The following is a 24,805-nucleotide window of genomic DNA, read 5'->3' as shown; positions in this document are numbered from 1 at the left end:
TGACCCTCCCTAAGGCTTCCCCACCTCCCACTGAGGTCTGAGGGTTTAATACACAGCTGGTTCAGGGTGGATCCAGATGCATGCGGCGCAGGGGGGAGCGTTTCCAAGGCGATGGCCGGGTTGTTTCTAACGACCCATTGACCTGACCCTCCCCACCTCACGCCGCCCCTGAACCAAGCCAAGCCTTTGGAGGGCGGCTTCACCTTGGGATCCCTGGCTGCAGCCCTACTGTGGTGGGAGGTTCGGCTCCCACGCTGGATGGGCCCTAGGGGAGGTCAGAGGGAGGGTGAGCCAAGGAAGGCCTTATGGCTTCTCGTTCCCTCCAGGCCTCTCCCTCTTATTCTGACCCGTGGCAGGCAGAGGAGGGGTGTGGAGTCCCTTGTTCTAAGAATTATAAAGAATATCTCTTTAGAAACCTCTAACCACGTCTTGCTCTAGGATGGAAGCATATCCTGAATTGGCCACTTTAAAGTCTTTTCATACACTGCAGATCCAGAGAGAGGCTTCTGGTGACTAATCGGGAGTCGTGCATTGGTCAGACTATTGCAGCCCCAAAGTCAGTGTTTTTCCGGAGCCAAGATCCCATTGCTTCCTGGCCGGTCCCACATCCTGCTGGACCTGCGTTGGCTGGCTCATGTTTCTCATTATCTCTCCCCCAGCCTCTTTAAAGGCTTCTCACTCTACCCAAGGGTTTTATTTTTAACTTGCACAGTAACACTAGGGTTGAGCAGGGATACCACCTACATTCACAGGAAATGGGGCTGCCTTGGAAAGGTGTCCCCCTCTCCAGGGACTTTCTCCCTCCCTGCCTCCCTTCCTTTCATATTTAGGGAGCACCTACCCCAGGTGGGCCCTCCCCAGAGGTAGAACAACACAAGAGCAGATACGATCCATGCTCTTGAGCCACTGACATTCTGATGGGGCAGAGGAGTGGGTGACAGATAGAGCATAACACACGAAAAAGTAGGCCAACAAAGAAATAAACCAAGTCAACAGGGATTGTGATAAGATGTCTTCTCCAAAGAGAACAAACAAGGCACCAGGACAGGGAAAGCTATTATACATTGGGAGGGGAGGGGAGCCTCTCTGAGCAGGTGACATAGAAGTGGTGGCCAGTAGAACAAGGGGCACCAGGCACACATGAAGCAGGGTGAGGACTGTTCCTCAGGGAGGGAGAACAGGTGGGAGGGCCTGTGGTGGGCATGAGCTTGGTGTGTGCTAAAATGCCACAGAGGCCAGGGTTCTGGAGGAAAGTAGTCAAAATGAGGCTGGTGAGGCATGCAAAGACCTCATGCAGGGCCCTGGAGCCATGCAAAAAGTTTGGGGCTTTGTTCTGAGTGCAGTGGAAAGTCACTGGGCGTGTTGGATGTAGCAGGGGTCAGGCAATGATTGACATTTTAAGACCCTCGCTGAAGATTGATATTCTCCTATAAAGAAGGTGGACCCCTGAGTGGAGAACTGACCCTAATCACCCTAAGTGGGGTGAAGGAAAGGCAGGGACATGATTTAGGGGGCTACCGAGTCATGTAGAAAAGAGATAATGGTGGCTGAGGCTGGAGTGGAGCAGGACCACAAAAGAGTCAGGCTGGTTCTTCCAGAAATTAGCTTGATACCAAACATCTTCCTTCTAAAGAGCTCATAGAACCATATCCCACAATCATCAGGCAGAACAGAACACCAAGGCCTGAAGTCATAGAATTGTATAAGCAATAGAGTTTAGATAGCCTATTGCTTGTAACTGGTCATATTTATTACGTTTCCAAACACAAGGAAGATCTTTGTCCAACATCTGCCTCTTTGATTTTCTGAATGGTGTGTAAATACTCCTCTCTCTTTATACCATGGTAGCTATCTCTGTTCTTTGTATCATTGGCTGAGATAGGAGACCAAATGGACCAACTCCACTATTCCTGAGGAATTTTTGGATCAACTAAGAATAAAAGATGAGAAAAGGCCCAAATTCTCAACTCTGATAGAATTTGCCTTGACTGAGTGATGCCACTCACCTGCAAAACTCAAAGGTGACTTTAGATGCCTGAATAGCCTGAACAGTTTTCCGTGCTCTCCAAGAAAAACACTATTGTGTTACTGCTCTTCAGAAGAAAGGAGATGGAAAACAACAGTACCACAATGCAGAGATTCTGCATCGAATAATAATAACAATAGCTATTATCTGTTGTTTGCTTCAAGGCACTTTACTTACATTAACTCACTTAATCACTGATGAGGTAAGTCCCCCTCTTAATCCTTTTCACTGATGATGGAACTGAAGCTTAGAGAGAAGTGATGTGAAGTCTCACGGTAGGAGCAGAGGGTCAGGTCCGGAAGCTGGTCAAACTCCTAACTATAAACCAGGGCTTGACTATCTGCCTTGGTTGCTAGTTAATTTAAAAACTGCATAGAAGGCAGGGGGCGGTGGCTCACATCTGTAATCCCAGCACATTGGGAGGCCGAGGCAGGAAGACCACCTGAGATCAGGAGTTCGAGACGAGCCTGGCCAACAGGGTGAAACCCCATCTCTACTAAAAATACAAAAATTAGCCAGGCATGGTGGTGCGTGCCTGTAATCCCAGCTACTTGGGAGGTTGAGGCAGGAGAATGGCTTGAACCTGGGAAGCGGAAGTTGCAGTGAGCCGAGATCACACCATTGCATTCCAGCCTGGGCGACAGAGTGAGACTTGGTTTCAAAAAAAAAAAAAAAAAAAAAACTGTACAGAAAAAGACCTGAAGGAGAGCATCCAAAACGTTAGCAGAGCAGGGATGTGAGTAATTTGCTGTGTATTTCATGTAGTTTTTTTTATTGTTTTGAATATACAGTGCCTGGTACTTGGTGGAGTGGATGCTCAACATCTATTTGTTTAATTAAATTGTTCAGTTAATGAGTATATGTTACTCTAACATTATTTTTGAATAGCTAAAGTAATAGATCTCATTATAGGAAATAGAAAATTTCAGGAATTTTAAGATTAAAATTTATTCATCATCCAGTGGTAATCACTGTTAAAATATTGGTAACATTGATTTATGCCTTTTCAGTTTTTTCCTGTTTATGTCTGTGTCTGTCTCTTTATCTACCTATCTATTTATGCACATATATGTGTGTGCATAGCAAAAAAGGTATCATACTGCATAGTCTTTTAACTTGTATGTAATGGAATGATGACATTACTCACCTCTCAAGTATGTTTTTTGTGCAATTCCACCACAATGGGGTTAGGTTAGGAAAAACCTCAGTTGTGGCTGAAATGTGGGCCCTGAAGTTAGACAACTGGGTTTAAATTCCATTCCTACCCCTTACCAGCTGTGTGACCACAGACAAGGTCATTTTTCTGAGCCTCAGTTTCCCCAGGTATAAATGGCACATACCTCAGAGGATGTAATCAGGTAAAACAGGTAAAGGTCTCCCGAGCACTCTGCCTGGAATGAAACAAATGTGCAGAACGTGTTCATTGCTATCGTTATGAAGCTAGAAGAAGCGTTTCTTCACAAGTCCAGTGGTTTCGAAAACTCCCTCCCATCCTACTCTGCAGGATCCAAGAAAAATGAATTTAGAAATCACTCAAAATACCCTCTGACCATATTTCCCTTTCCCCTAATTTTTTGAAGGAGGGGAGTGTTAAAGTCTTAAGTGTTAAAGACAATTAGCTCTTTTTCTCTTCCTTACGAAGAACCAGGTTTATTGGATTAGAAAACATTTGAATAATTCTGTTGCTCACAGCTGCAAGAGGAATGTAGCCTTCCTTTCTATGTAGCAGCTGTGTTTTACGATTGTCTGTCTTAAAGCAAAAACAAAGCAGGCAAAAGAAAAAGAAATAAAGCAGGACTGTTTAGATCAATCCTAAGTTGCTCTCAGTTTTATATAACAATACAGAAGACGTCTTACCCCTAAAACACAGACCAAAGAAGAACTAACCTGATTCATATACTGGACATCATTTGTTAACACAGACACTCCACTGACACATACATAGAAGGTTCTCCTGAACCATGTTGAATATATTTCTTGAATATATGTTTTCCTTACAAACAGCAAGCTATTGAGGAATAAAACAGTATGTTCATGTAATCTAAATACTGTCAGAGCCTGTTCAAAGGGTCAAAAGAAGATGATAGATGGTTAAATGAACAGCTGCTTTTTGAGTTTGTGTTGCATGTTGAGAAACTTTTTCCTCTTAATTCATAGCTCAGGAAATGTGTTTATGATCCTGGTGGAATTGTGTAGAGATTTCCCTAAACCACTGTCATAGGCAGCACATGTGATAAAGCGCTTCTGAAGGCTGGGCCAAGTTTTTCCATTTTTGTCTAACTATGGGAAATACTCAGAAACATCTTAGTGTATGTGCAATAGTGTGCTCTCAAAACCGAAATGGCCCTAGAGATCACAGATAACACATGTGATTGTAAGGCAACCCAACATCGGGCCGAGACATTAATTGCAGGGCAAAACCCCTGAAGTCCAAATAACTGTGAGGCACATCGTAATTTCCAAATAAATGATTGGAAGTGGTAGCATCTACTGCTGTCAGGTTTTTGTGGGGTTTTTTTCCTAATTTCTTCATATGCTTTGCTGGCGTTGGTTGAGTGCCTTCTGCATGTAAGAATCTATACCATGGGAGATTCAAAGATAAAACATGTTCTCTGCTCTCATGCTGTCATGTGTGAGTGGATGGGGGCCAACAACTCAATTGTAGAAAGAATGAAGTAATGACTAGGCAAAGCACCACACCGTGGGTCCTTGAAGGAAGGACCCTACTGACTGGAGAGACCAAGGAAGGCTTTGCAGTGGAGGTAGCATTTGACATAGGCCTTGAAGGATGAGGAGAGTTTTAATTAGCAGAACATTGAGCAAAATGGCCTTCCTAGCTGAGGGAACAGCAAGAACCAACATAGGAAGGCATGGAAGTTCTTGGTGTGCAACAGGGGAGAGGGAGCAGCTCAGATTGCTGGGATGTGGAAGGACGTAGTGGAAGGTGAGGCTTTTCACACCAGATTTGAGGTCACTTGGCCAAGGACTTTGGCCTTCCTAGCTGGGAAGTAGGAAACAAGGGAAGGTTTCTGAGCCAATGGTTGGCACATGCAGATCTTTCTTGAGAAGCATGACCTCAGTGCCAGTGTGCAGAAGTGACGGGAACAGCAAAGCTGTGGGGCAGGAGATCAATCCCGAGGCTCCGGCACCCACTTTCCACTCTGGTTAACCTCTTTGTAGCTTCGGGCAGTGCAGACCAGCTGACTTCTCCCTTGAAGGCTGTGATCCTGTACTTCTTGGCTCTCCTCCTGACTGTGCCTCTTCTCCCCAGGATCCTGGGGTTGCTCCTCTGTGGTAACCGGCTGCACTGGGGATCTCAGAGTGTGGAGTGACCCCCAGGGTGGCTGCCGCTGTCTGCTTCGCTCTTCAGGCTCCAGGCTGTTCTTCCTTGCAGATCTCATCTTTCCCCTCTGCTCTGCTTCTCCTGTGCCTGCCTCATATTCTGGGTTCTCTCCAGAGCTCGCGTCCACTGCCTGCCAGTCAGCAGATGGATGACTCTGTTCACCTCAGCCGCGACACGCCCCACAGCGAGTGCAGCAGTCGTCCTGCCAGATGGGCTGCTCCTGGCTGCGTCCATTCTCTCAGTAAATAGCCTCTCCATTCATCCTTCCGGTCCCTCTATGCCCGAGTCACCTCTGATTACTCCTTTGCAGAATCCTCTTCATTCTTCTCCTGGAGTGTCTTTGGAGCCATCTCTCCCTTCCACTCTCATGGCTCAAGTTTAGGATCTTTTGTCTATTTCAATTCAACAGCCATTTATTGAGCCCCAGGGGCTGTGCTGGGGACATAATCGTGAGAAGGAAGCTCATGCTTCTGTCCTCGACTGGCTTGTAGTCTAGTCAAGAAGACTTGAGGGCTGATGAGCTTTTCAGAGATGGAAATAGAGGATACTGTGCCCCGTGGCCTCTGCTCTGCCCAGCCCCCTACCAGTAACCAACAATTTTCCAGAAGAATTTCCAAATTCCCTTCTCCAAAGTCTCCACTGGCTCCACTTTCATTTGCTTGCAGAAAAAAGTCTAAATGCTTTGGAACAGCATCATTCAAGGTCCTCTATGATCTGACTCCAAGCTAGCTTGCACTAACCCTGTGTGTCCCTGAAAACCCCCCGCTCAGCGGCATCAGCCATGCATGCTGGGCGAAGATGCCCTCTACTTGCCCACCCCTGGGCCTCTGTTCAAGTGATTCCTTTATTCCATGCCCACATATGTAAAACCTGTTTGTCCTTCCTGCTGAGATGCCACATCTTCCAGAAAGTCCTCCTGACCCCTTCCTCTTCAGCCCTCCATCCATCCCCCCAGCCCTTGGCACAACCTTCACAGCACTTATCATAGCTTGTCATGGTATTTATGACTTAGCTTCTCACCTTCTTTCAAGGACAGGAAGCTTATCTCATTCATCCTGAATAATCACAACAAAAATAATAGCTAAAATTATGAGATGTTAGAATGCATATTTTATTTATATGAGGCAATGTGCTAGGTGCTTCCCTTGCACTATCTTGTTGCAACCTTTTGACAAACACGTGAGGTAGGTATATCACTGGCCTCCTTTTATAAAGGAAGCTCAGAGAGATGAATTGACTTTCTGGACTTAAGTTCAGGAAGCTTCACTTCAAAACCCATGCCCTTGACCATGACTTCACCTTTATTACCTAACTGTGTCTGGGTGAGTTCCTTGTATATAAGTCCTTACTGGGGCCGGGGCAGGGAGGGGTGTCAAGAGGATGGGACAGTGAAGACAAGAGCAGCCTCCCCAAGGTCATGTGACAAGTCACGGTCACATAAACATCACGAATGCGGGAGCTTTAGCGACCACATTTTCTCCTACACCTTTTACCTAGGAAATGGAAGTCACAGTTTTCAAAGGGAAACTAAACGTTTTTGACTGTGCAAAGGATTAGATGACAGTATGTTGAATGCAAATTGATTGAGTCTGATTTAATTTGGATGGTGATGTGCCAAGTCACACAGCCCTGTTGGACCAGGTGCCTGAAGCAAAGAACTTTCCTTGCACCCAGCTACCATGGCCTCTGCCTGAGCCTGGGAGGAGACATTTAACAAGGGAAATTCCTTCTCCCTCCCTCACTGGACTGAACCTGTCCCTTTTCTTAAAGAAAGGGAGTGGCGTGGAGCCCAGGCCCTCCCCCAGGGGCCTGCCTGCTCAGCTCCAGACAGGTCTGCCTTTGTGAGCAGGGGTGGGCTGGCGGGCAGGAAGGCTCTTGGACTGCAAGACCGCTGTGGCATCCCAAGTCAGTGGGAGCGAGGCCAGAGGGGACAGTCAGGATGGGAAGGTTGAGAAAGGGAAGACAGTCACCGTCAGGCTAGCCAGGGCGCTTCCTCCATTCCTTTCCAGGGCATGAACAAGACAGCATGTGGATGAGGCTGGAAGTAGCCCCAGGGAGCCTGGAGGAACAGAGTCCAGAGTTCGGAATTTTCAGAGCCCGCCGAGGCCTTCAGCATATTTAGCATGGGACATTTGGTAGTGGGAGGACAGCCGCTCCTGTCATCTTCCCTTTCTCTCTCCCCATCAGCCTGCGAGGGACTAAAAGCCGGCGATTTTTCCTTGCTGTATTTCTTTCTTTTTTTTTTTTTTTTTTTGAGACGGAGTCTCGCTCTGTCCCCCAGGCTGGAGTGCAGTGGCCCGATCTCAGCTCACTGCAAGCTCCGCCTCCCAGGTTCACACCTTTCTCCTGCCTCAGCCTCCCAAGTAGCTGGGACTACAGGCGCCCGCCACCGCGCCCAGCTAATTTTTTGTATTTTTAGTAGAGACGGGGTTTCACCGAGTTAGCCAGGATGGTCTCGATCTCCTGACCTCATGACCCGCCCACCTCGGCCTCCCAAAGTGCTGGGATTACAGGCGTGAGCCACCGCGCCCGGCCTGTTTCTTTCTCTTTTTTCTTGAGACCGAGTCTCGCTCTGTTGCCCAGGCTGGAGTACAGTGGCATGATCTCAGCTCACTGCAACCTCTGTCTCCCAGGTTCAAGCAATTCTCCTGCCTCAGCCTTCCGAGTAGCTGGGACTAAAGGCTCCCGTCACCACCGTTGCCCAGCTAATTTTTGTATTTTTAGTAGAGACGGGGTTTTACCATATTGGCCAGGCTGATCTCGAACTCCTGAACTTGTGATGCGCCTGCCTTGGCCTCCCAAAGTGCTGGGATTACAGGTGTGAGCCACTGTGCCCGGCTTCTTTTCTGTTTTTCTTTCTTTCTTTTTTTTTTCTGTCTCTTTCTTTCTTCATTTTTGTTTTTGTTTTTGTTTTTGTTTTTTGAGACAAGGCCTCACTGCAGTGGCACTATCACAGCTCACTGCAGCCTCAAACTTCTGGGCTCAAGAGATCTTCCCACCTCAGCCTCCTGAGTAGCTGAGACTATAAGCACTCACCAACACACCTGCCTAATTAAAAAAAAAATGTAGAGATAAAGTGTTGCCGTGTTGCCCAGGCTGCTCTCAAAATCCTGGCTTTCAGTGATCCTCCTGCCTTGGCCTCCCAAAGTACTGGGATTGTAGGCGTGAACTGGTATACCAGGCCTCTTGCTCCATTTCTTTACTTGGCTTGAGTTTGGCTTCTCTTGTTATAATGTAGACATCTTTATATGCCACTTTGTCCTCCATATCCTGGCTGAAATGCTACGGTTTTTTTTGTGGGGAACATGTCAGAGGATACACAGACTGGTGAATGGACAGACTGATGAATAAGTAAATGTTGGGATTCTTGTCTAACACACTGTGCTTTCTAGACTCTGACTCAACGACACCACACTGCTGCTGGATTTCATGAAATCTTACACCCCATCCTATCCAGTACATTGTATCATGTCTTTAAGAAATTTAAAGGAGCAGAAACAAGTTTTAAAAAGCTAAGATTGTGTGTGTGTGTGTGTGTGTGTGTGTGTGTGTGTGTGTGTATTACATGCTCCTTAGACCATTAGAGTCATTCTGGTGGGGTTATGAAACCAGGGAAAAGTCCTTTTTCGCGAGGGCCATGATGCTGATACAGATTTCACCCTAATATAACAAGACCTTAAGGGTGAGCACTGGGTAAAGTTCAATCAAGTCTGAGAACTTTTCAGCAAGTGCCATACTAGAGTAGCTTGTGTTATGATGCAATTCCACTGGCAGTCAAAGTGGCAGGCAAAAGTCTGGGTTTTCCTGACCCTGGGTGGTGGAGCAGGCCAGTTATCAAAGGCAGGCTGTAGGAGCAGGGGGTCTCACCTTGAAAAAAGAAGGGTTTGCCAGAGAGCCAACCTAGGGGGAAGTCATTAGCTCCATCTTGAGTGCTCATGAGATGATGAGAAAGACTGGGGATCGAGAAAAGAACAGGCAACGCTTGACTACCTGTGGGCCTCTCCAGCCTCCCCAAAGGAAAAGCTTATTGGTTGTGCTTGAAGAGGAGAGCTACGTACCTGTGATCCTCTTAGGATCACTGTAGAACCTTCAGTGGGAAGGACCATGGGTTTCTGAAGATATGGGGAGGCTCTAAGTGTGTGAGCTATTAACGTTAAAAGCATGAAGCTTTATTGGTAGACAGGACTCAATGGGTAGAGATGAGAGGCTTTGAGGAGAACATATTGAGGTCACTGAGTGTTGAGGGAATTCCGGGAGGACAGAGGCAGCTAGCTGGATGCAGTGAGCCAGGGTGGGAGAGGAGACAGGAAGATGAAGAGACAGAGAAGCCTTGTTGGGGGGAGGTCCTGGGTCATTCATTGCTTGAGAAAATCCCAGCCAGAACCTGTGGCGACCTTTTCCAAGGAGGAGTGAGCCAGTACTTTTTCCAAGGTAAACAGCTCTAAAGTAATGTTTCCAGAAGGGGCCAAAGTCCTGAGGAGGGGAGTGGGACAGGGGGAGATGGAAAGCCCCACCCAGAACGGAGGATGGAAGGGCAAGGGGGTGGACGAGGGGCAGGGGTGAGGGGTGTGAGGTGAGATAGAGCACTTGTGTTGTCTTGAGGTTCCCAAGGTATCTCAGGAATATTTTTCTAAAGTAAAGTTTGTGAGTTTTGTTTTTTATTTTTTGAGATGAAGTCTTGCTATGTTGCCCAGGCTGATCTCAAACTCCTGGGCTCAAGCAATCCTCCACTTCAGCCTTCAGAGCAGCTGAGATTGCAGCACAAATAACACTTTTTATAAAATGTAATACTGTTACATAAGGCAATGTTACTGTTTTTCAATGTTACTGTTTAATAATTTGTTTTTATCATCCTCATTAACATTTATACAATGCAGCACTGTGTTAAGCACCTTACGTAACTTTACCTCATTTTATCCTCAAAATAACCCTATGAGTTTAGGTAATACTGTAATCTCCATTATAGAAAAGAGGAAACTGAGGTTCAGAGAGGTGACGTCACCTCGCCCACATCTTACTGCTGTTAGCAGCGGAGTCAAGACTTGTCCTCAGCTGGGCTGACTCCAGAGCCCAGGCTCCCATCCACCAGGAAAAAGACTCAACCAGCTTAGAAGAGGAAATCCCTGGACATCGACGGTGTCATGAATGAAACACAAGCAGAGCAATCACAAAACACCCCACTGCCACTTACTGGATGGCTACTTCCATATTTTATCAGATCTAAGATACAGTAAATTGGAAGTTAGACCGTCACTTCATGTACCATGAAGAAAAAGAATGTTGCACGGCCTGATTTTAGAGACGTTCAAATACTGAAAATATGTGCATCTGAGGCTTGATAAAATATTACAAGCGCCATACCATGCTAGGAGCGTTGCCTCCACGATCTAATTCGTCCCAAAGACAGCCCTTTTGTATCACCACTACATTTGCAGAGAATACAGGGCTTAGAGCAGTGGCGTCCGTGCCCATAGCCAGTGACACGGCGCTAGGGAGCCGCAGAGCCTAGATCTGTCCTTGGCAACTTCCTGGGCCCAAATCCCTGCCTTGCCTGACCCATCAGTGCACGCTGCCTGGGAGGTGGGGGGCGCCTTTGTTATTTGTTCCTTCAGGTGGGCAGCCAGCTTGGCAAACAGAAAACACAATGGAGCATCTAACTGCAGGAAAAAAGAACACTTTGCCTCCTTCCTCCCCCTGGGGCTCATCTGTGCTTGGGCTCACTTGGAACTGCTCACTCCCCCTGGACTTTAGGGGTGCTGGTTGTGAGGCCAGGTGACCCCTTCAGCAGGACCCTAGCAGCAGCTCTGGCCATTGATTTCCTAGTTCATAAGCCTCCATGGTATAGGCTCTTTCTTGGGCCCATCTCTTTCTTTTCCCGAGCTCCACTTGTGATTTGCGCCAGATTTGGAAGCATCATCCCTGACGCTGAACTTTATTCTTCCCACATCTTCCTTGCCTTCTCTCATCTCTCCAAGTGTCTTAACTCTTCAGCCTCACCCTGCCTCTTCGAAAGCCTTATTCATGTCTTAACCACTTCCTAGCTCTGTTCACATCAAATCGCTAATGGTTTTCTAGAATTCCTGCATGTTAAGATGGAAATCTGGGGCGAGAGAGGTGGAACGAAGAGGTTGTCTGTGTGGAAAAAAAAGTCAACTGGACAAGTTTCCTTGCTTTGATTTTTGACCCCAAGACCTCCCTCCTCCGCTGTGGGCTGTGTACGTATAAGCTGGCTTCTCTTGGTTTCTCAACTCGGGTCATCACGGAGTATCTTCTTGCCTTCTGTCTCGACCTCTTGGCTATCTTTCCAATAAGTTTCCATAGTGAAGAAGGCAGTTGTACTTAAATTAGATCTTCCCCATCTCTTTAAAACACCCTTGTTCTCTCTCCTCCAAGCCACTGAGTCATACTTTCCCATCTTCTCAAAGACTTCCCTGTCACTGGAGATGAGGGCTAGGACTTGGCACTTTCTCCTTTTCTGATTTTACTTCCTACTTCAACAAGAAATTAATATCACAACTTGAAAAGCCTTCCTAACTGGTAAAATCGTTCTGCTGGAAAAGCTCATTATCTTTTTTCTTTTTTTTTTTTTTCTTTCCTGATTAACCTGCTTCTCACCTATCCTCTGTCCTTCGGAATCTTTTTCTTTGTATGGCTGTCTCAACTCAGCCTAACTTTCTTTCAAAGCCCTGCTGAGAAGAACTTTAAAACATTTTGTATGCCAGGCACAGTTGTGCACGCCTGTAATCCCAGCACTTTGGGAGACTGAGGCAGGTGGATTGTTTAAGCCCAGGAGTTCCAGACCAGCCTGGGCAACACGGCAAGACCCCATCTCTACAACTACAAAAAAATGTATCTGGGCCTAGTGGCACGTGCCTGTGCTTCCAGCTGCTTGGGAGGCTGAGGTGGGAGGGTTGCTTGAGTGCAGGAGGTCGAGGCTATAATGAGCTGAGATTGTGCCACTGCACTCCAGCCTGGTGAGGGAGTGAGATGCTGTCTCAAAAAAAAAATTACAATTTTAATACTCTAAACCTTTACTGGATGTTAGATTTATTTATTTTCAGTATTTAATCAAAGTATGAAAAGTGCTACCTACAGGTTTCCTTTGTTCTAAGTTCCCCCAGGGCAAAGAGATGTCTGTTTCATTCACGCACTCCATACACAGAGGAGGCTGCAGAAAATATGTGCTGAATGAATGAATGAATGACCAGCAGTCATCACTGGGCTTTTGTGTCCATTTACAAAGTAAGCTCATGTAGGTATCCATTCATTCAACAAATATTTATTGAGACCCGACTGTGTGTCAAGCCTTGTGTTAAGCATGGTGGGTATAATAGTGACAACATCAACAAAAATCCTTCCCCTCTTGAAGTTTATCTTCTAATGGAAAATGACCATTCAAAAATCATTGAATTGGTGTCCACCTAATATTGAACTCTAATAAGCATGTTGGAGAAAGTCTCAAAATTACAGAAAGTTGAATTCACATTTGCTCCAAGAGAGCTAAGAAATTGGGAAAAAAGAGACACTATTAGTGAACGAGGTGAGAACATTTTTAACGGCTTGAGATATAATTCACAATTATACAGTTCGTCCGTTCAAAGTGTATAGTTCAATGGCTTTTCGTATATTCACAGTGTCATGCAACTACTGCCACTATCTAATCTCAGGACACATATGAATCAGCAGTCATTCCCCGCTTCCCCCTCCCTCAGCCCCGGGCACACCACTAATCTACGTTCTGTCTCTAGATATTTGCTTATTCCAGACATTTCATGTAAATGGAATCGTACAATATGTGGGTTTTTTTTTGTCTGTGTGTTTTTTGTTTTTTGTTTTTTTTGAGACGCAGTCTTGCTCTGTCGCCCAGGCTGGAGTGCAGTGTAATCTCGGCTCACTGCAACCTCCACCCCCTAGGTTCACGCCATTCTCCTGCCTCAGCCTCCCAAGTAGCTGAGACTACAGGCAACCGCCACCATGCCCTGCTAATTTTTTGTATTTTTAGTAGAGACGGGGTTTCATCGTGTTAGCCAGGATGGTCTCAATCTCCTGACCTCGTGATCTGCCCGCCTTGGCCTCCCAAAGTGCTGGGATAGTGAGCCACCGCGCCCGGCCAATATGTGGTCTTTTGTGACTGGCTTTTTAAACTTAATATAATGTGTTCAAGGTTCATCCACATTGTAGCATGTATCAGTACTGCATTCCTTTTTATGGTTGAATGTTTTGCATGGATATGCTACCTTTTGCTTATCCACTCATCATTTGTTGCTTTCCATTTTTGGCTTTATGAGTAACTCTGCTATGAAAATTAATGTACTCTTTTTTGCATGAATATGTTTTCATTTCTCTTAGTTGCATACTTAGGTGCTGGATTGTTGGGTCATATGGTAACGCTATGCTTAATTACTTGAGGGACTGTTTTCCAAAGTGGCTGCACCATTTTACATTCCCACCAGCAGTGTATGAGGGTTCCAATTTCCCCATATCCTCACCAACACTTGTTATTGGGTGCCTTTTTGATGAAAGCCAGCCTAGTGGGTGTGAAGTGATATTGCGCTTTTGATTTGCATTTCCCTGGTGGCAAATGGGGTTGAGCATCTTTTCAGGTGGAGATGAGAACATCTGCATCATGTTTGTGAGGCAGCTATTGATCTGGTGTCCAGCACAATGCCTGCATGTCACAGGTGCTCAATAATATTTGTTGAATGAATGTAAGAGTGGAGCAAAGAAAAGTACCTTGAAGGACAAGGCTTCTATTAGCTATGGCAAGCCTGCAAGAGGAATGGTGTATGATGGATAATATTTTGCAGATATGAAGCAATGCATTTTCCCCCTCTTACCACATATCCTGCCTTTAAACCATGTTCCATTTGGAGCCTCTCTTCTCAGAGCCTGGGCCAGGAGTCCTGTTGCCTGGAGCCAGAGAAGGAAGGAGGAACACAGAATAAAGAAGACAGCTGGCTCAACCACCAAGATTTGTGGAAAGATTTGCAAAATGGCTTTCACTCCATTGTAACATAGCAGGGGCTAGGCCTGGCAGATAGACTGTGGGATTTCTTTTACCATGGTAGGGGATGCCTGTCTGTCACTGGGCTATGGGGTATGGGGTTAGAAAAGAAGATATGGAGTGTGTGTCTTTGGCATTAAAAACTTGCTGATGAGCTGAGGAGAACACGGAAGGCAGGGCAGCCCTGCAGCATGGGGAGGCCTGCAGAGTTTGAGAGGCTGAATGGGTGTGATCAGAAGGCGAGTGGGTGTGCGTTACACTCCAGATTTCTGCTGCTCCTGCGTGATATAGATGCTGAGACGAGAGCCAGAGGCCATTGTGGGGTGACCCTGCAGCAGAGCGGGGGCAGACCTCCTGGGCAGGGAAGGAGAAACCCACAGCCAACAAGAGCTGGCCAGCCAAGGAGCCGCCCTGGGCCCTGACCCAGCCAAGAGAGACCAGCGGCCCCAACTTGAGTCATGAAGGCCAAAGGGTGGGCAGCCACAGGGCAGGCTGAAGGCTCCATGCTGGAGACCCTGTGCCGGGGGCCAACTCTTCCCTTCCAGTCAGAGGCTGAGTGGCTCCCACTCCTCCTAAAACCATGCCGCAGGGAGGGCGGCTAAAGACAGAGGAGCTGAAGGACAGAGCTTTACTAACAGGACTGTTTAATTCTCACCCCGGATGAGCGTGAAGATGGTTTTCAGCTGCCGCACAGTTGAGGCCTCGGGAAGAAGCCCAGAGAAGAGACAAATTAAGAGAAACCACAGTCATGTTGTGTGAGAAAACGTGTGACACTGCCCATGGCCTGTTTATGGACCGGTCAGCTCAGCAGTGAAATCGCCTGACGCAGGGCCTGCAAGACCAGAGATGCAGTCCCATTAGTGTTGCTGTGGCAGTGGCCACTTTCAGAGGCCTGCTCTGGAGTCAAAGAGCTTCTGATCTGAGCAAGAGAATTTCTCCCCTTCGACTAGAGAAACAGACCAAAGGGCATGTTCCCTGTCATCTTTGGCCGTGACTCTCTCAGAAGCATTTGGAGACATTTGGATGGGCCAGGCTGAGAAACATCACTCCCACAACAATGGCACCCCTCAGCTGTGTTCCAGGCTCTGGGCTAACTCTTCACATGTGTCACTGAATCCTCCCGCCAGCAACTCTCTGAAAGATTTTGTTATTCACATTTTATAGATAAAGCTATGAAGCCTGAGTGGTTTCCTGGGATCTGCTGTCAGGCAGCATTTGAATTCAGTGATGTAACTGCCTGTGCTGGGCACTTAACCACCGCTGACACTGCCTTTCATCATTCTGCTTCAAAGTTCCCCCTTAAAACTGATGCAAGGGCTGGGCGCAGTGGCTCACACCTGTAATACTTTGGGAGGCTGAAGTGGGTGGAATACGAGGTCAAGAGATTGAGACCATCCTGGCCAACATGGTGAAACCCTGTCTCTACTAAAAATACAAAAATTAGCTGGGTGTGGTGGTGGGTGCCTGTAATCCCAGCTACTCGGGAGGCTGAGGCAGGAGAATCGCTTGAACCCGGGAGGCAGAGGTTGTAGTGAGCTGAGATCACGCCACTGCACTCCAGCCTGGCGACAGAGCGAGACCCTGTCTCAAAAAAAAAAAAAAAACTGACGCAAGATCTGGTGAAGCATTTTATCAAAGAAAAATACAAAAAAAATTATTATCTTTTATTTGTAAAAAAAAAAATACATGCCTGTTTCACTATAACAAGGATGGCGACCATGGAACCAAAGTGATAAAGAACCTGAATGAGAGCTCATTTCAGACATTCTTCCCCCAACACACGCCAACACCAGCAAATGCAAGGCTTCAGCATTGTTGGTTATGTAATTGTTCTCCAAAGACATTATACCCAGCTCATCTCAGAGTGCATGCTTCCGCTTGCCTATCCATCCAGGTTTTCTTCTCACAATTACTGAGCCTACCACATGCCAGGCACTGGGGACTCAAGTGACCTGGCAGTTCCTCCCCTGGAAGAGTTCATGATCACGGCAGAAGCATCCCCAGAGCACCATGCACACAGGTACCAGGACGGCAACTCTCCGCAGCCTATACTTTCTCTTCCTTCAAATCTCAACTTAAATGTCACCTCTTCAAGGAGTCTTGCTAGTCGGTCTTACTCTATTTTTCTACCTCAGTTCCTTGATACCGAAGGAAATATCCTCCAAAACACAACTGACAATTTTTCTTTCTTTGTCCTTTAACTCGTGAGTGTGTGCGTGTGTGTGTCTGCTGCCTGTGAAGCCCCACTACAATGTGGTCCCATAAGGGCATGAGCCACACTCTCTTATTCACAAAGGTATCTCCAAGGCATGACACATCCTGGGTGCTTAGTTTGTTGATTGAATGAAAAAAAGTTGCAACCAGATAGTCAAGAGCCTTGAATGCCATGCTAAGAAGTTTGGCCTTTGGCCTTTAGGCAGTGAGAAATAACAGGAAATGTGATCAGGGGCAAGGCATGAACAGATCTGTGAATGGGAAGCCAAGGATGGCCATGTTGTGAATGAGGTAAGGGGAATAAGCTACAGAGAGAAAAACTAGAAGCAATTGCCATGGATAAGGCTTGAGAATTTGCTGGCCTGACCTGAGACACTGATGGAAGGAATATTTAAGAAATATTTAGGTAGAATCATTTGGAGATGCCTGTGGGAGTGAGGGAAAGGGAATATGACTAGGGCATATTAAGTGGCTTGGGCTATTTTGTAACCACTGCACTGTCATTAATTAAGCAAAGGCAATGGAAGAAGGAGAATGCAAGACGTCCACCGTGGGCTGTTATCTGCAGAATGTCCTGGAAGATTTCTTGGAGGTGATGGGAGCTTTGAATGCAAAGACCAGGGTGGAGGCACAGGGCAGGATTTGGGAGTCCTGGGTAGAATGTGAGGCAGACCAGCACTCCCAGAGAGCATATATGCATTTAAGACAGAACCACCTAGGACAGGCCCCTGAGGACACCACACTCCAAAAGGTGGTGAAAGGCAGAGAAGCCAGGGCAAGATACTAAGCAAGAGAAGGAGAAAGAAGACCCAGACACCAGCGTTATTATTGAAACCAGAGGGGCAAGAATTGTCCAGAGTGGGTTGGAAAGTTCCGCTGCCCACTGGGCTGAGAGTCCAGCAGAGAATGTGGTAGAGACCCAGTCTTGGGCAGACACTCGGCCGCAGCCGCAGCCAGCAGCCAGCAGCATGGCGAGTGTGGTGGACCAGGTCTCCTGGGGGTTAAAGGGAACCCAGATAGCAGGAATCTCTGAATCAGTAAAAGTCAAGTCAAAAAAGAACAACATTCACAGCTGACCACACGGCCTCAGGCCACCGCAATCAGGTGTGGGAGGAGACCATGGACAAGCTTTTCCAAGGTTGTTTTGGTGGAGGGGTGGGCTAGATGGGGTACTGCAGAGGGCTGGGGATGCCTGAGAGGTGTTGGGGGGGTGCTGACATCCTTCAGAAAGCTGGGCTGTGCAGAGAAGCAGAGAACGGGGCGGGAGCAGGTGGATGGGCAAGATTCTCCAGGGAGAGAGAACTTAGCAAGTTTGGGGGCTGAAGGGAAAGATTCAGTGGACAGCATCCTTGCCCTCTTGAAAAGTTGTTGTTTTTTCCTTTACATTAGAAAATACCTGCAGTAGGCCTGGGTGCGGTGGCTCACACCTGTAATCCCAACACTTTGGGAGGCTGAGACAGGTGGATCACCTGAGGTCAGGAGTTCAAGACCAGCCTGGCCAATATGGTGAAACCCCATCTCTACTAAAAATACAAAATTAGCTGGGCGTGGTGGCACATGCCTATAATCCCAGCTACTCAGGAGGCTGAGGCAGGAGAATCGCTTGAACCTGGGAGGTGGAGGTTGCAGTGAGCCAAGATCTCGCCATTGCACTCCAGCCTGGGCAACAAAAGCGAAACTCTGTCCCAAAAAAGATAAAAATAAAAATAAAAAAAAATACCTGCAGTAACAAAATAAAATGTGAGTTCCTCCTCAGCCACCCCATCCCACTCCCCAGGGGTAATCATTTTTTCAGTTTTCTATCTATGTGTCTACACATAGATATATGATTTTTAAATTAAGCCATGGGATAATTCTGGATATATTGTCCTGAGGCTTCCTTTTCCCCACTCATATGTGTACATGTGTGTCTAGTGCTCTTTTTCTTATGGCTGCCTGCTATTTGCTTAGACCCATAACTTATTTTATCACTCCATTCTGAAGCAACATTGTTTCCAAATTTTCACTATTACAAACAGCACTGCAGTGAATTTCATGCATTGATGTTTGGGCACTTGTGTGAGTCCTTCTATAGGACAAATTCTTAATGCTGGAGTTGTCAGTCACGGGGTCTACACATAAGTATGCTGTTTTCCTTGAAGGGCTTCTTGGATTGGTCTGCTCTTCCCTTATGGACTGGGAATGAAAAATGTGGGGAAGAAGATAGATTTCCAAGGAGGCATGTAAATGGAAAACAAGGCTTTAAAGTATCCCAACTGAATAACAGCTTTTTTTTTAATCAAGATATTGTGGGTTACTATATTTATACATAGTAACACTTATTAACCTGATAAGATGGACCAGGTAGAAATAACTCTCAGAGAGGTAACAGTCTGCTCTTCTCGGTTTAACCATCCATTTTCTATGGCTAGAGTCAATATTGGAAGAAGATACTGGTTCCTGAGGGCACATTTAGATGTGTTAAAAGAGTTATGATGTGGGAAATTTGTTCACAGATTTCAGGGAGATCAAAGACTTAAGTCCATTAGAAATTTTAAAAACAATTATATTCCTAGGACTTGGTATTTAATATGTGAAGTCATCAGTTTAATTATATTTTCAGATCATTCTTTGGCACAGAGTGAGGAAAACCCTCCCTCACTCTTGCAGAGAACGCAAAAACACTCAGGAAAAACAAAGCTGAAGTGTAAACAGTCTCTTTGCAAGGGTCCTCTGATCTCACCAGCGCGGCCAGCACACTGAGCTCGGAGCGCCCTCTTCTGGCTGCGGGCTCCCCTGCACCAGCCTGGCTCCCGCCCACAGGATAAGTCGGGTTTTCAGTGTTTGGAAAGCTGCTCTGGCTCTCCCGTTCCAATATCAGCACATCCTTCAGCTTCTTCTGCTGTGGCCACTGAAACCCCAAGATGTTCTTTCTCAATATTTGTGCAATATTTTCAAGTTACTCTGGGCTCTGCCTCCTCTGTAAGAAGGATTTCTTGATGACTAGTTTTTAAAAACACCCTTCTTAGATCTGAGTTAAGCTATTGGGATTGCAGTTACGTTTGTTAACTGTCGGGAATTAGTAATTTTGGATAAGCAAGAACTAGATCTAGAAGCCAAAGGAGAACAGCAAGCAGGTCTATGTGTCATTACCCAATGCCTGTGAGCAAAGTATGGCTGAGATTGACGTTTTCTGTCCACTCTGGAAAGCTGTCAGAACCTTAGGTCAGCCTCATAGTTCTTGTATTCATTTAACAACTATTTGCTGAGTACCTATGGTGTGGTGGGGAGTGTGCTGGGAGCAGGTCTCAATGGTGGACGAGATGAGGGAAGGGCCGCTTCACTTATTATGTGTGATACCTAGGCAGTGTTAATATTGCAAAATGCTTGGAATTTTACAAGCGTCATAAAGGGTTACCGAAGCCTCCATCATGTTCTTTCAAATTCCCAGTTAATCTATCCTGTGCTGCTATTACCACGTTGAACCAAGTTAATCCTCTCAACTCAGCAATGGCTCCTTCCTAACTTCTTGAAAGGCACCATTCGGTCCTCCAGGGAACATGCTTGTAATCTGTTATGATAGGAAGGAGGAAGCAGCATAAACGAAAACAGTTTTTCCAAAGAACTGACTGTTTTCCTTGGAGCTGGGGTGGGCCAGAGCTGAGGCCCGGCCCTGTTTGGATGTGGGAGCCTGCGGTTACCTGGCTCTATCTTCATCAACCCTGCTGGGTGAGCCACAGGCCTGCAGCCCTCTGCTCTCCCCTGCCTGCTCCTCCTGCAGGTAGAAGAGAAGCCCCTTCTCCCTCTTTCTCTCTCTCAGTCCCGTGTGAATGCCTGGGGCCCACTCGCCAGGCAAAGGGAGATTGGCCCCTGGAAGGAGCCAACCCTAAAGAGGGAGTGTTTCCTTCCAACGAGGCCACAACATTCATGGAGTCGAAGACAGCAGATGGCAGCCCTGGTGGAAGAGCCAGGCAATGTCATCCAAGACAGATAAGGAAAGGACACAAGGCCAAGGGCTGGAAGGTATCAAATCGCAACACAATGTCCAAGATTCCACTAGTTATTTATGCCCCACTTTTGCTAAAACTTCAGATGAACCTCGAAGGGGCAGACATCCTTTCTTCCTCACTTATCTTGGCTTTATAACCACAGCTTGATATTTCTTTGGGAAAAGTAAGAATCTTTCTACTATCCAAAGTTCAATGAACTATCGAGCAGTTCATTATAAGTGAACTTGCCTTCTTAAAGCTAACGTTCTCTCTAAAATCATTGAGTTCCAAGAAGGTGGTACAAAAGGATTGTATTTTGTGAGCTTGCTGCATCAAAAGTCCCCAAATTTCATGTGCCCTTTCCCAAATTATGCTGTTCACTTAAATGCATTTTAACTCTCCAGATATTTATTGAGCTGAGCACTGTGTTAGAAAAAGACCTGGATGCTGCCCTCAGGAAATTCACAGACCAAAAGATGAGATAGATGAATAAACAGATCATGTCAGTCCAGCATGGTAAATGAGATGTTAGAATTACATACAAGGTGGAACTTTTCTTTTTTGAGACAGAGTCTCGCTCTGTTGCCAGGCTAGAGTGCAGTGGCATGATCTTGGCTCACTGCAACCTCTGCCTCCCAGGTTCAAGCAATTATCCAGCCTCAGCCTCCCGAGTAGCCGGGACTACAGGTGCACGCCACCACGCCCAGCTAATTTTTGTATTTTTAGTAGAGATGAGGTTTCACCATGTTGGCCAGGCTGGTCTTGATCTTTTGAACTTGTGATCCACCCACCTCAGCCTCCCAAAGTGCTGAGATTACAGGCGTGAGCCACGGCACCAGGCCCAAGGTGGAACTTTCAAGCCTCTGCCCTCATGGTCTGGAGGGAGAGCCTGACTTAATCAGAAAATACAAAAATAAAAGTAGAATTTAAGCCCCAACCGGTGTCGTAGAAGACAGGCAGGCAGCACAATGAGAGCTGAGGGGTAGAGGAGGACATCCCTGAAGAAGTCACAGCTGAGATCTGAAAGATGGGTCAGGGTTAATTCGCTGTAGGGGGCAGTGAACAGTGGTCCAGGCAGTGAGGAGAGTGTGTGCAAAGGAACTGTGGCAGGAAGGCACGTGACGTATCCCAGGGGCCAAATCAAGGCTGGTATGGCGAATGCACAAAGCTAGAAGGGGAGACTGGGAGGCCGGGCTGGAGAGGTCAGCAGGGCTGGACCCCATGTAGCATCTGGTGGACCACAGCCTTCACTTCTATGTGCTCCTTTCCTCTTCTGCCTGAAGGAATCAGAACAGCACCTACCTCATAGGAATAAGTGAGTCCATTTTTGTAAGGCACTTAGAGGAGGGTGCCGCAACTACCGGCTGCCGTGACTGTTGTAATTATCCCCCTCGTCATCCTCGCCAGGTTGAGCTGGTGGAGGAGGACCCTGCTGGCTCAGGTCGGATGTGTCTTTTTAACAATTCACACTCGATATGTGGGCACAGCTCCACAGAGGTCTCAGAGGCCACAGAAATGAGCATAAACTCCTGTAAAGGTAACCGCTGGCTTTCTGGAGACGCTCTGCATGAATGACTGGCTGGGCTGCCGACCACAGGGCTCAAAACAGCCACCAAGAGTTTATCCCCAAATACCCAGGGAAGAAAACGAGACAGAGGAAGGAGGATGGAGCCTCCCAAGAGAAGGCTGTCTATAAATGGAAAGTGACACTGAAAGAAAACAAATCTTATTTGATGTGAACCCATTTTTGACTCTGTCTGGAAATCCAGGGCAGAAGGAAGTGGAGGGGACAGGGAGTGAGTGAGCAGATGTGCCCAGCATGAGCCTGCCCGCCCGGGGCCTGGCGTGGACACACGTGTGCACTATGACGAGGTGATGAGGAAGGGCTGCGGCCACCGCCGAGGCACCCACTCCTCCAGCCAGACCCAGACAGACGCAAGCACTACTGGGCTGCTTCTGTGCTGTGATGTGTGCCAGGCTGCACGTGTGGGCCCAGGGCTGAGATGGAGAGTAGTGGCCTGGGGTGGGCACAGGCAATGTGGGGAGAAGATTCAAGGGGACTGCAAAGAACACCATGGGGCTCCTGGGCCCTTCTGTTTCCTAAAGGGGGTCTTCAGGGTAATTAGCTCACAGGGTCCTTGTGAGGGGCCTTGAATGGGATGACCTACACAGGAAGGGCCTAGTAAGTAATGAATCAGCGCTCTCTTCAGAGCAGTGCAGAGCCTCCATCACCCAAGGCTTCTAGGTCCAGTTCTAAAACTCACCTGCCCCATAGCACTAGGTGACTTCTGAATGTCCCAGCGCCTCTTGTGTTTCTTCATCCTCAGCCATTAGAGAAGAACTACGACCTTACAATTTAAATGGCTCTACTTCAAAAACGTTAACAAGAAGAAGCACCATTTGGCAACATGTTTTTACTATGTGCAAACACTGTTAAGAACCTTCCCAGGAGGTTATAGCCCAAATAATAAGACCTGGCTTCAGAATGTCTGGGTTCAAATCCCAGACCCATTCCTTCCTGGACATGTGGCCCTGAGCAATTATTTAACTTCTCTGGGTCTGAGTCTCTTTGTCTGGAAAATGGAAGTGCTAATAATTCCTCCATTGCAGCGTTCAGAAAGGACTATGTGAGGCAGTGCAGAAAGAGGCATTTAATAGAGCGCATGGTACGAAGCACTTAATAAACGTTCATGTTTATCGTTATTACAAATTCTCTCAGATTAGGCCACCTATTACCCCTGTACTACAGCCCAGAAATTTGAGGCTGGAAAGAGGTTAAGTGTCCACATGGTGGAATATTATTCAGCACAAAAAAAAAAAAAAATGAGCTACCAAGACACAAAAAATATATGGAGGAATTTTAAAGGCATATTACTAAATGAAAGAAGACAATCTGAAAAGACTATGTTCTGCATGATGTCCACTATAAGACATTCTGGAAAAGGCAAAACTATGGAGGCAGTAAAAATATCAGTGGTTTTCAGGAGTTAGGAGGGAGGGAAGGATGGATTGGTAGAACATGAAGGATTTTTAAGACAGTGAAACTACACTGTAGGAAACGATAATGGTAGATATACGTCACTATACACTTGTCAAAACCCATAGAAGGTATAACACAAGAGTGAACCCTAAAATAAACTATGGACCCTGGGTGATAATGATGTGTCACATAGCTTCATTGATTGTAACAAATGGACCAGTGTGGTTGGTGGGGAGTGCTGTTTAGGGGTGGGACTGGGGAAGAGGAATTCTCTGTCCTTTCTGCTCGGTTTTGCTGGAACCTGAAACTACTCAAACAATAAAGACTATGAATTTCAAATAAAAAGGTAAAAAGGTTAAGCAACCCAGCTCCTAAGAGGCAGAGATGAGATTCAAATCTGAACTCAGAGCCAGGGGTCTTGCCCACTTTCCTAGGCAAGTCGTGGTGGGTTCAGGCTCCCGTGGGTGATGAAGGTTACCCAAAAGAAGGAGGTGGAGACCCAGGGAGGAAAGATACCAGGTGCCCCTGGGTTATCACTGCACCCTTCTCGGTACTCAGGCAGGATCCCCAGCCCTCGCAGCCGCCTTCCTTCACCTCTCTCTGAGCAAAAGCACGAATAGGGAGGAGACATTGAAGCTGCGTTTGCACCACCCTCCCATTAACACACTTGGCTCTCAGTGGGTGTTGATTTGGGCTGTGTGCACGCTAGGAATGAGTATGAGTGTTAAACTATATATTTTTACTTAAATTTTAAAATGTTCACCCTTCTGACTTGCTCCCCACCCCACCATAGGAAATCTCCATGTCCCTCCTGAATGCATTTCTGGAACCAGCTGCTTAAGACTGTTGCTCGTATTTTCCTGTGAGAATAATAGAGTAATGGGGACTGCATGTTTCGGATTTCTATCAATTAATACTACAGCAATATCCAGCTACTTTAACTACTGCTATAGTTTCAAATAATGAGACCACAGTATACATAGTGTGTGTGTGTGTGTATATATACACACACACACATATAAAGTGTATATGCATTGATTATAAAGGGGTCAAACAATAACAGTCATGAGCATCATTCTCCCTGCCATCATCATTTATTGGCCACTTAAGAAGTTTAGGTTCTGGGTTAAGCAGGTTACTGAAGCCTTAAATCATTTGATCTTCTTAAAATTCCTAGGAGGTAAGTACTGTAATTACTACCCTTCTGCCGATGAGGAAACTGAAGCTCAGAGAGGCTACATAACTTCCCAAGGGCACACAGCCACTAAGT

At 46.7% G+C, this 24,805-nt stretch overlaps 1 protein-coding gene across 24 annotated transcripts in view, besides 8 other annotated features; it reads left to right on the top strand.

Annotated features, from left to right (window-relative positions):
- FGF1 (fibroblast growth factor 1) overlaps nucleotides 1-24,805 on the top strand; it is a 105,893-nt gene that overhangs the window by 22,862 nt on the left and 58,226 nt on the right. The window lies entirely within an intron of this gene.
- Nucleotides 1,894-2,414: an enhancer, noted in NCBI's record as "NANOG hESC enhancer chr5:142052360-142052880 (GRCh37/hg19 assembly coordinates)". NCBI's record gives its function as "activates a minimal SCP1, AML or CMV promoter by ChIP-STARR-seq in naive and primed H9 embryonic stem cells {active_cell/tissue: H9 hESC(naive and primed)}" and the evidence as "EXISTENCE:reporter gene assay evidence [ECO:0000049][PMID:30033119]".
- Nucleotides 5,028-5,527: an enhancer, noted in NCBI's record as "H3K4me1 hESC enhancer chr5:142049247-142049746 (GRCh37/hg19 assembly coordinates)". NCBI's record gives its function as "activates a minimal SCP1, AML or CMV promoter by ChIP-STARR-seq in primed H9 embryonic stem cells {active_cell/tissue: H9 hESC(primed)}" and the evidence as "EXISTENCE:reporter gene assay evidence [ECO:0000049][PMID:30033119]".
- Nucleotides 6,755-7,262: an enhancer, noted in NCBI's record as "H3K4me1 hESC enhancer chr5:142047512-142048019 (GRCh37/hg19 assembly coordinates)". NCBI's record gives its function as "activates a minimal SCP1, AML or CMV promoter by ChIP-STARR-seq in naive H9 embryonic stem cells {active_cell/tissue: H9 hESC(naive)}" and the evidence as "EXISTENCE:reporter gene assay evidence [ECO:0000049][PMID:30033119]".
- Nucleotides 7,263-7,771: an enhancer, noted in NCBI's record as "H3K4me1 hESC enhancer chr5:142047003-142047511 (GRCh37/hg19 assembly coordinates)". NCBI's record gives its function as "activates a minimal SCP1, AML or CMV promoter by ChIP-STARR-seq in naive H9 embryonic stem cells {active_cell/tissue: H9 hESC(naive)}" and the evidence as "EXISTENCE:reporter gene assay evidence [ECO:0000049][PMID:30033119]".
- Nucleotides 14,265-14,765: an enhancer, noted in NCBI's record as "H3K4me1 hESC enhancer chr5:142040009-142040509 (GRCh37/hg19 assembly coordinates)". NCBI's record gives its function as "activates a minimal SCP1, AML or CMV promoter by ChIP-STARR-seq in naive H9 embryonic stem cells {active_cell/tissue: H9 hESC(naive)}" and the evidence as "EXISTENCE:reporter gene assay evidence [ECO:0000049][PMID:30033119]".
- Nucleotides 14,766-15,266: an enhancer, noted in NCBI's record as "H3K4me1 hESC enhancer chr5:142039508-142040008 (GRCh37/hg19 assembly coordinates)". NCBI's record gives its function as "activates a minimal SCP1, AML or CMV promoter by ChIP-STARR-seq in naive H9 embryonic stem cells {active_cell/tissue: H9 hESC(naive)}" and the evidence as "EXISTENCE:reporter gene assay evidence [ECO:0000049][PMID:30033119]".
- Nucleotides 19,171-19,465: an enhancer, noted in NCBI's record as "tiled region #3450; HepG2 Activating DNase matched - State 12:CtcfO, and K562 Activating DNase unmatched - State 12:CtcfO". NCBI's record gives its function as "activates a minimal TATA promoter and a strong SV40 promoter by Sharpr-MPRA in HepG2 and K562 cells {active_cell/tissue: HepG2 | K562}" and the evidence as "EXISTENCE:reporter gene assay evidence [ECO:0000049][PMID:27701403]".
- Nucleotides 19,253-19,302: a silencer, noted in NCBI's record as "silent region_16472". NCBI's record gives its function as "represses an Ori minimal core promoter by ATAC-STARR-seq in GM12878 lymphoblastoid cells {active_cell/tissue: GM12878}" and the evidence as "EXISTENCE:reporter gene assay evidence [ECO:0000049][PMID:35858748]".

Source organism: Homo sapiens, chromosome 5, assembly GCF_000001405.40.
Source record: "Homo sapiens chromosome 5, GRCh38.p14 Primary Assembly".
NCBI classification, from domain to species: Eukaryota; Metazoa; Chordata; class Mammalia; order Primates; family Hominidae; genus Homo; species Homo sapiens.
This window is presented reverse-complemented; position numbering and strand designations above follow the sequence as displayed.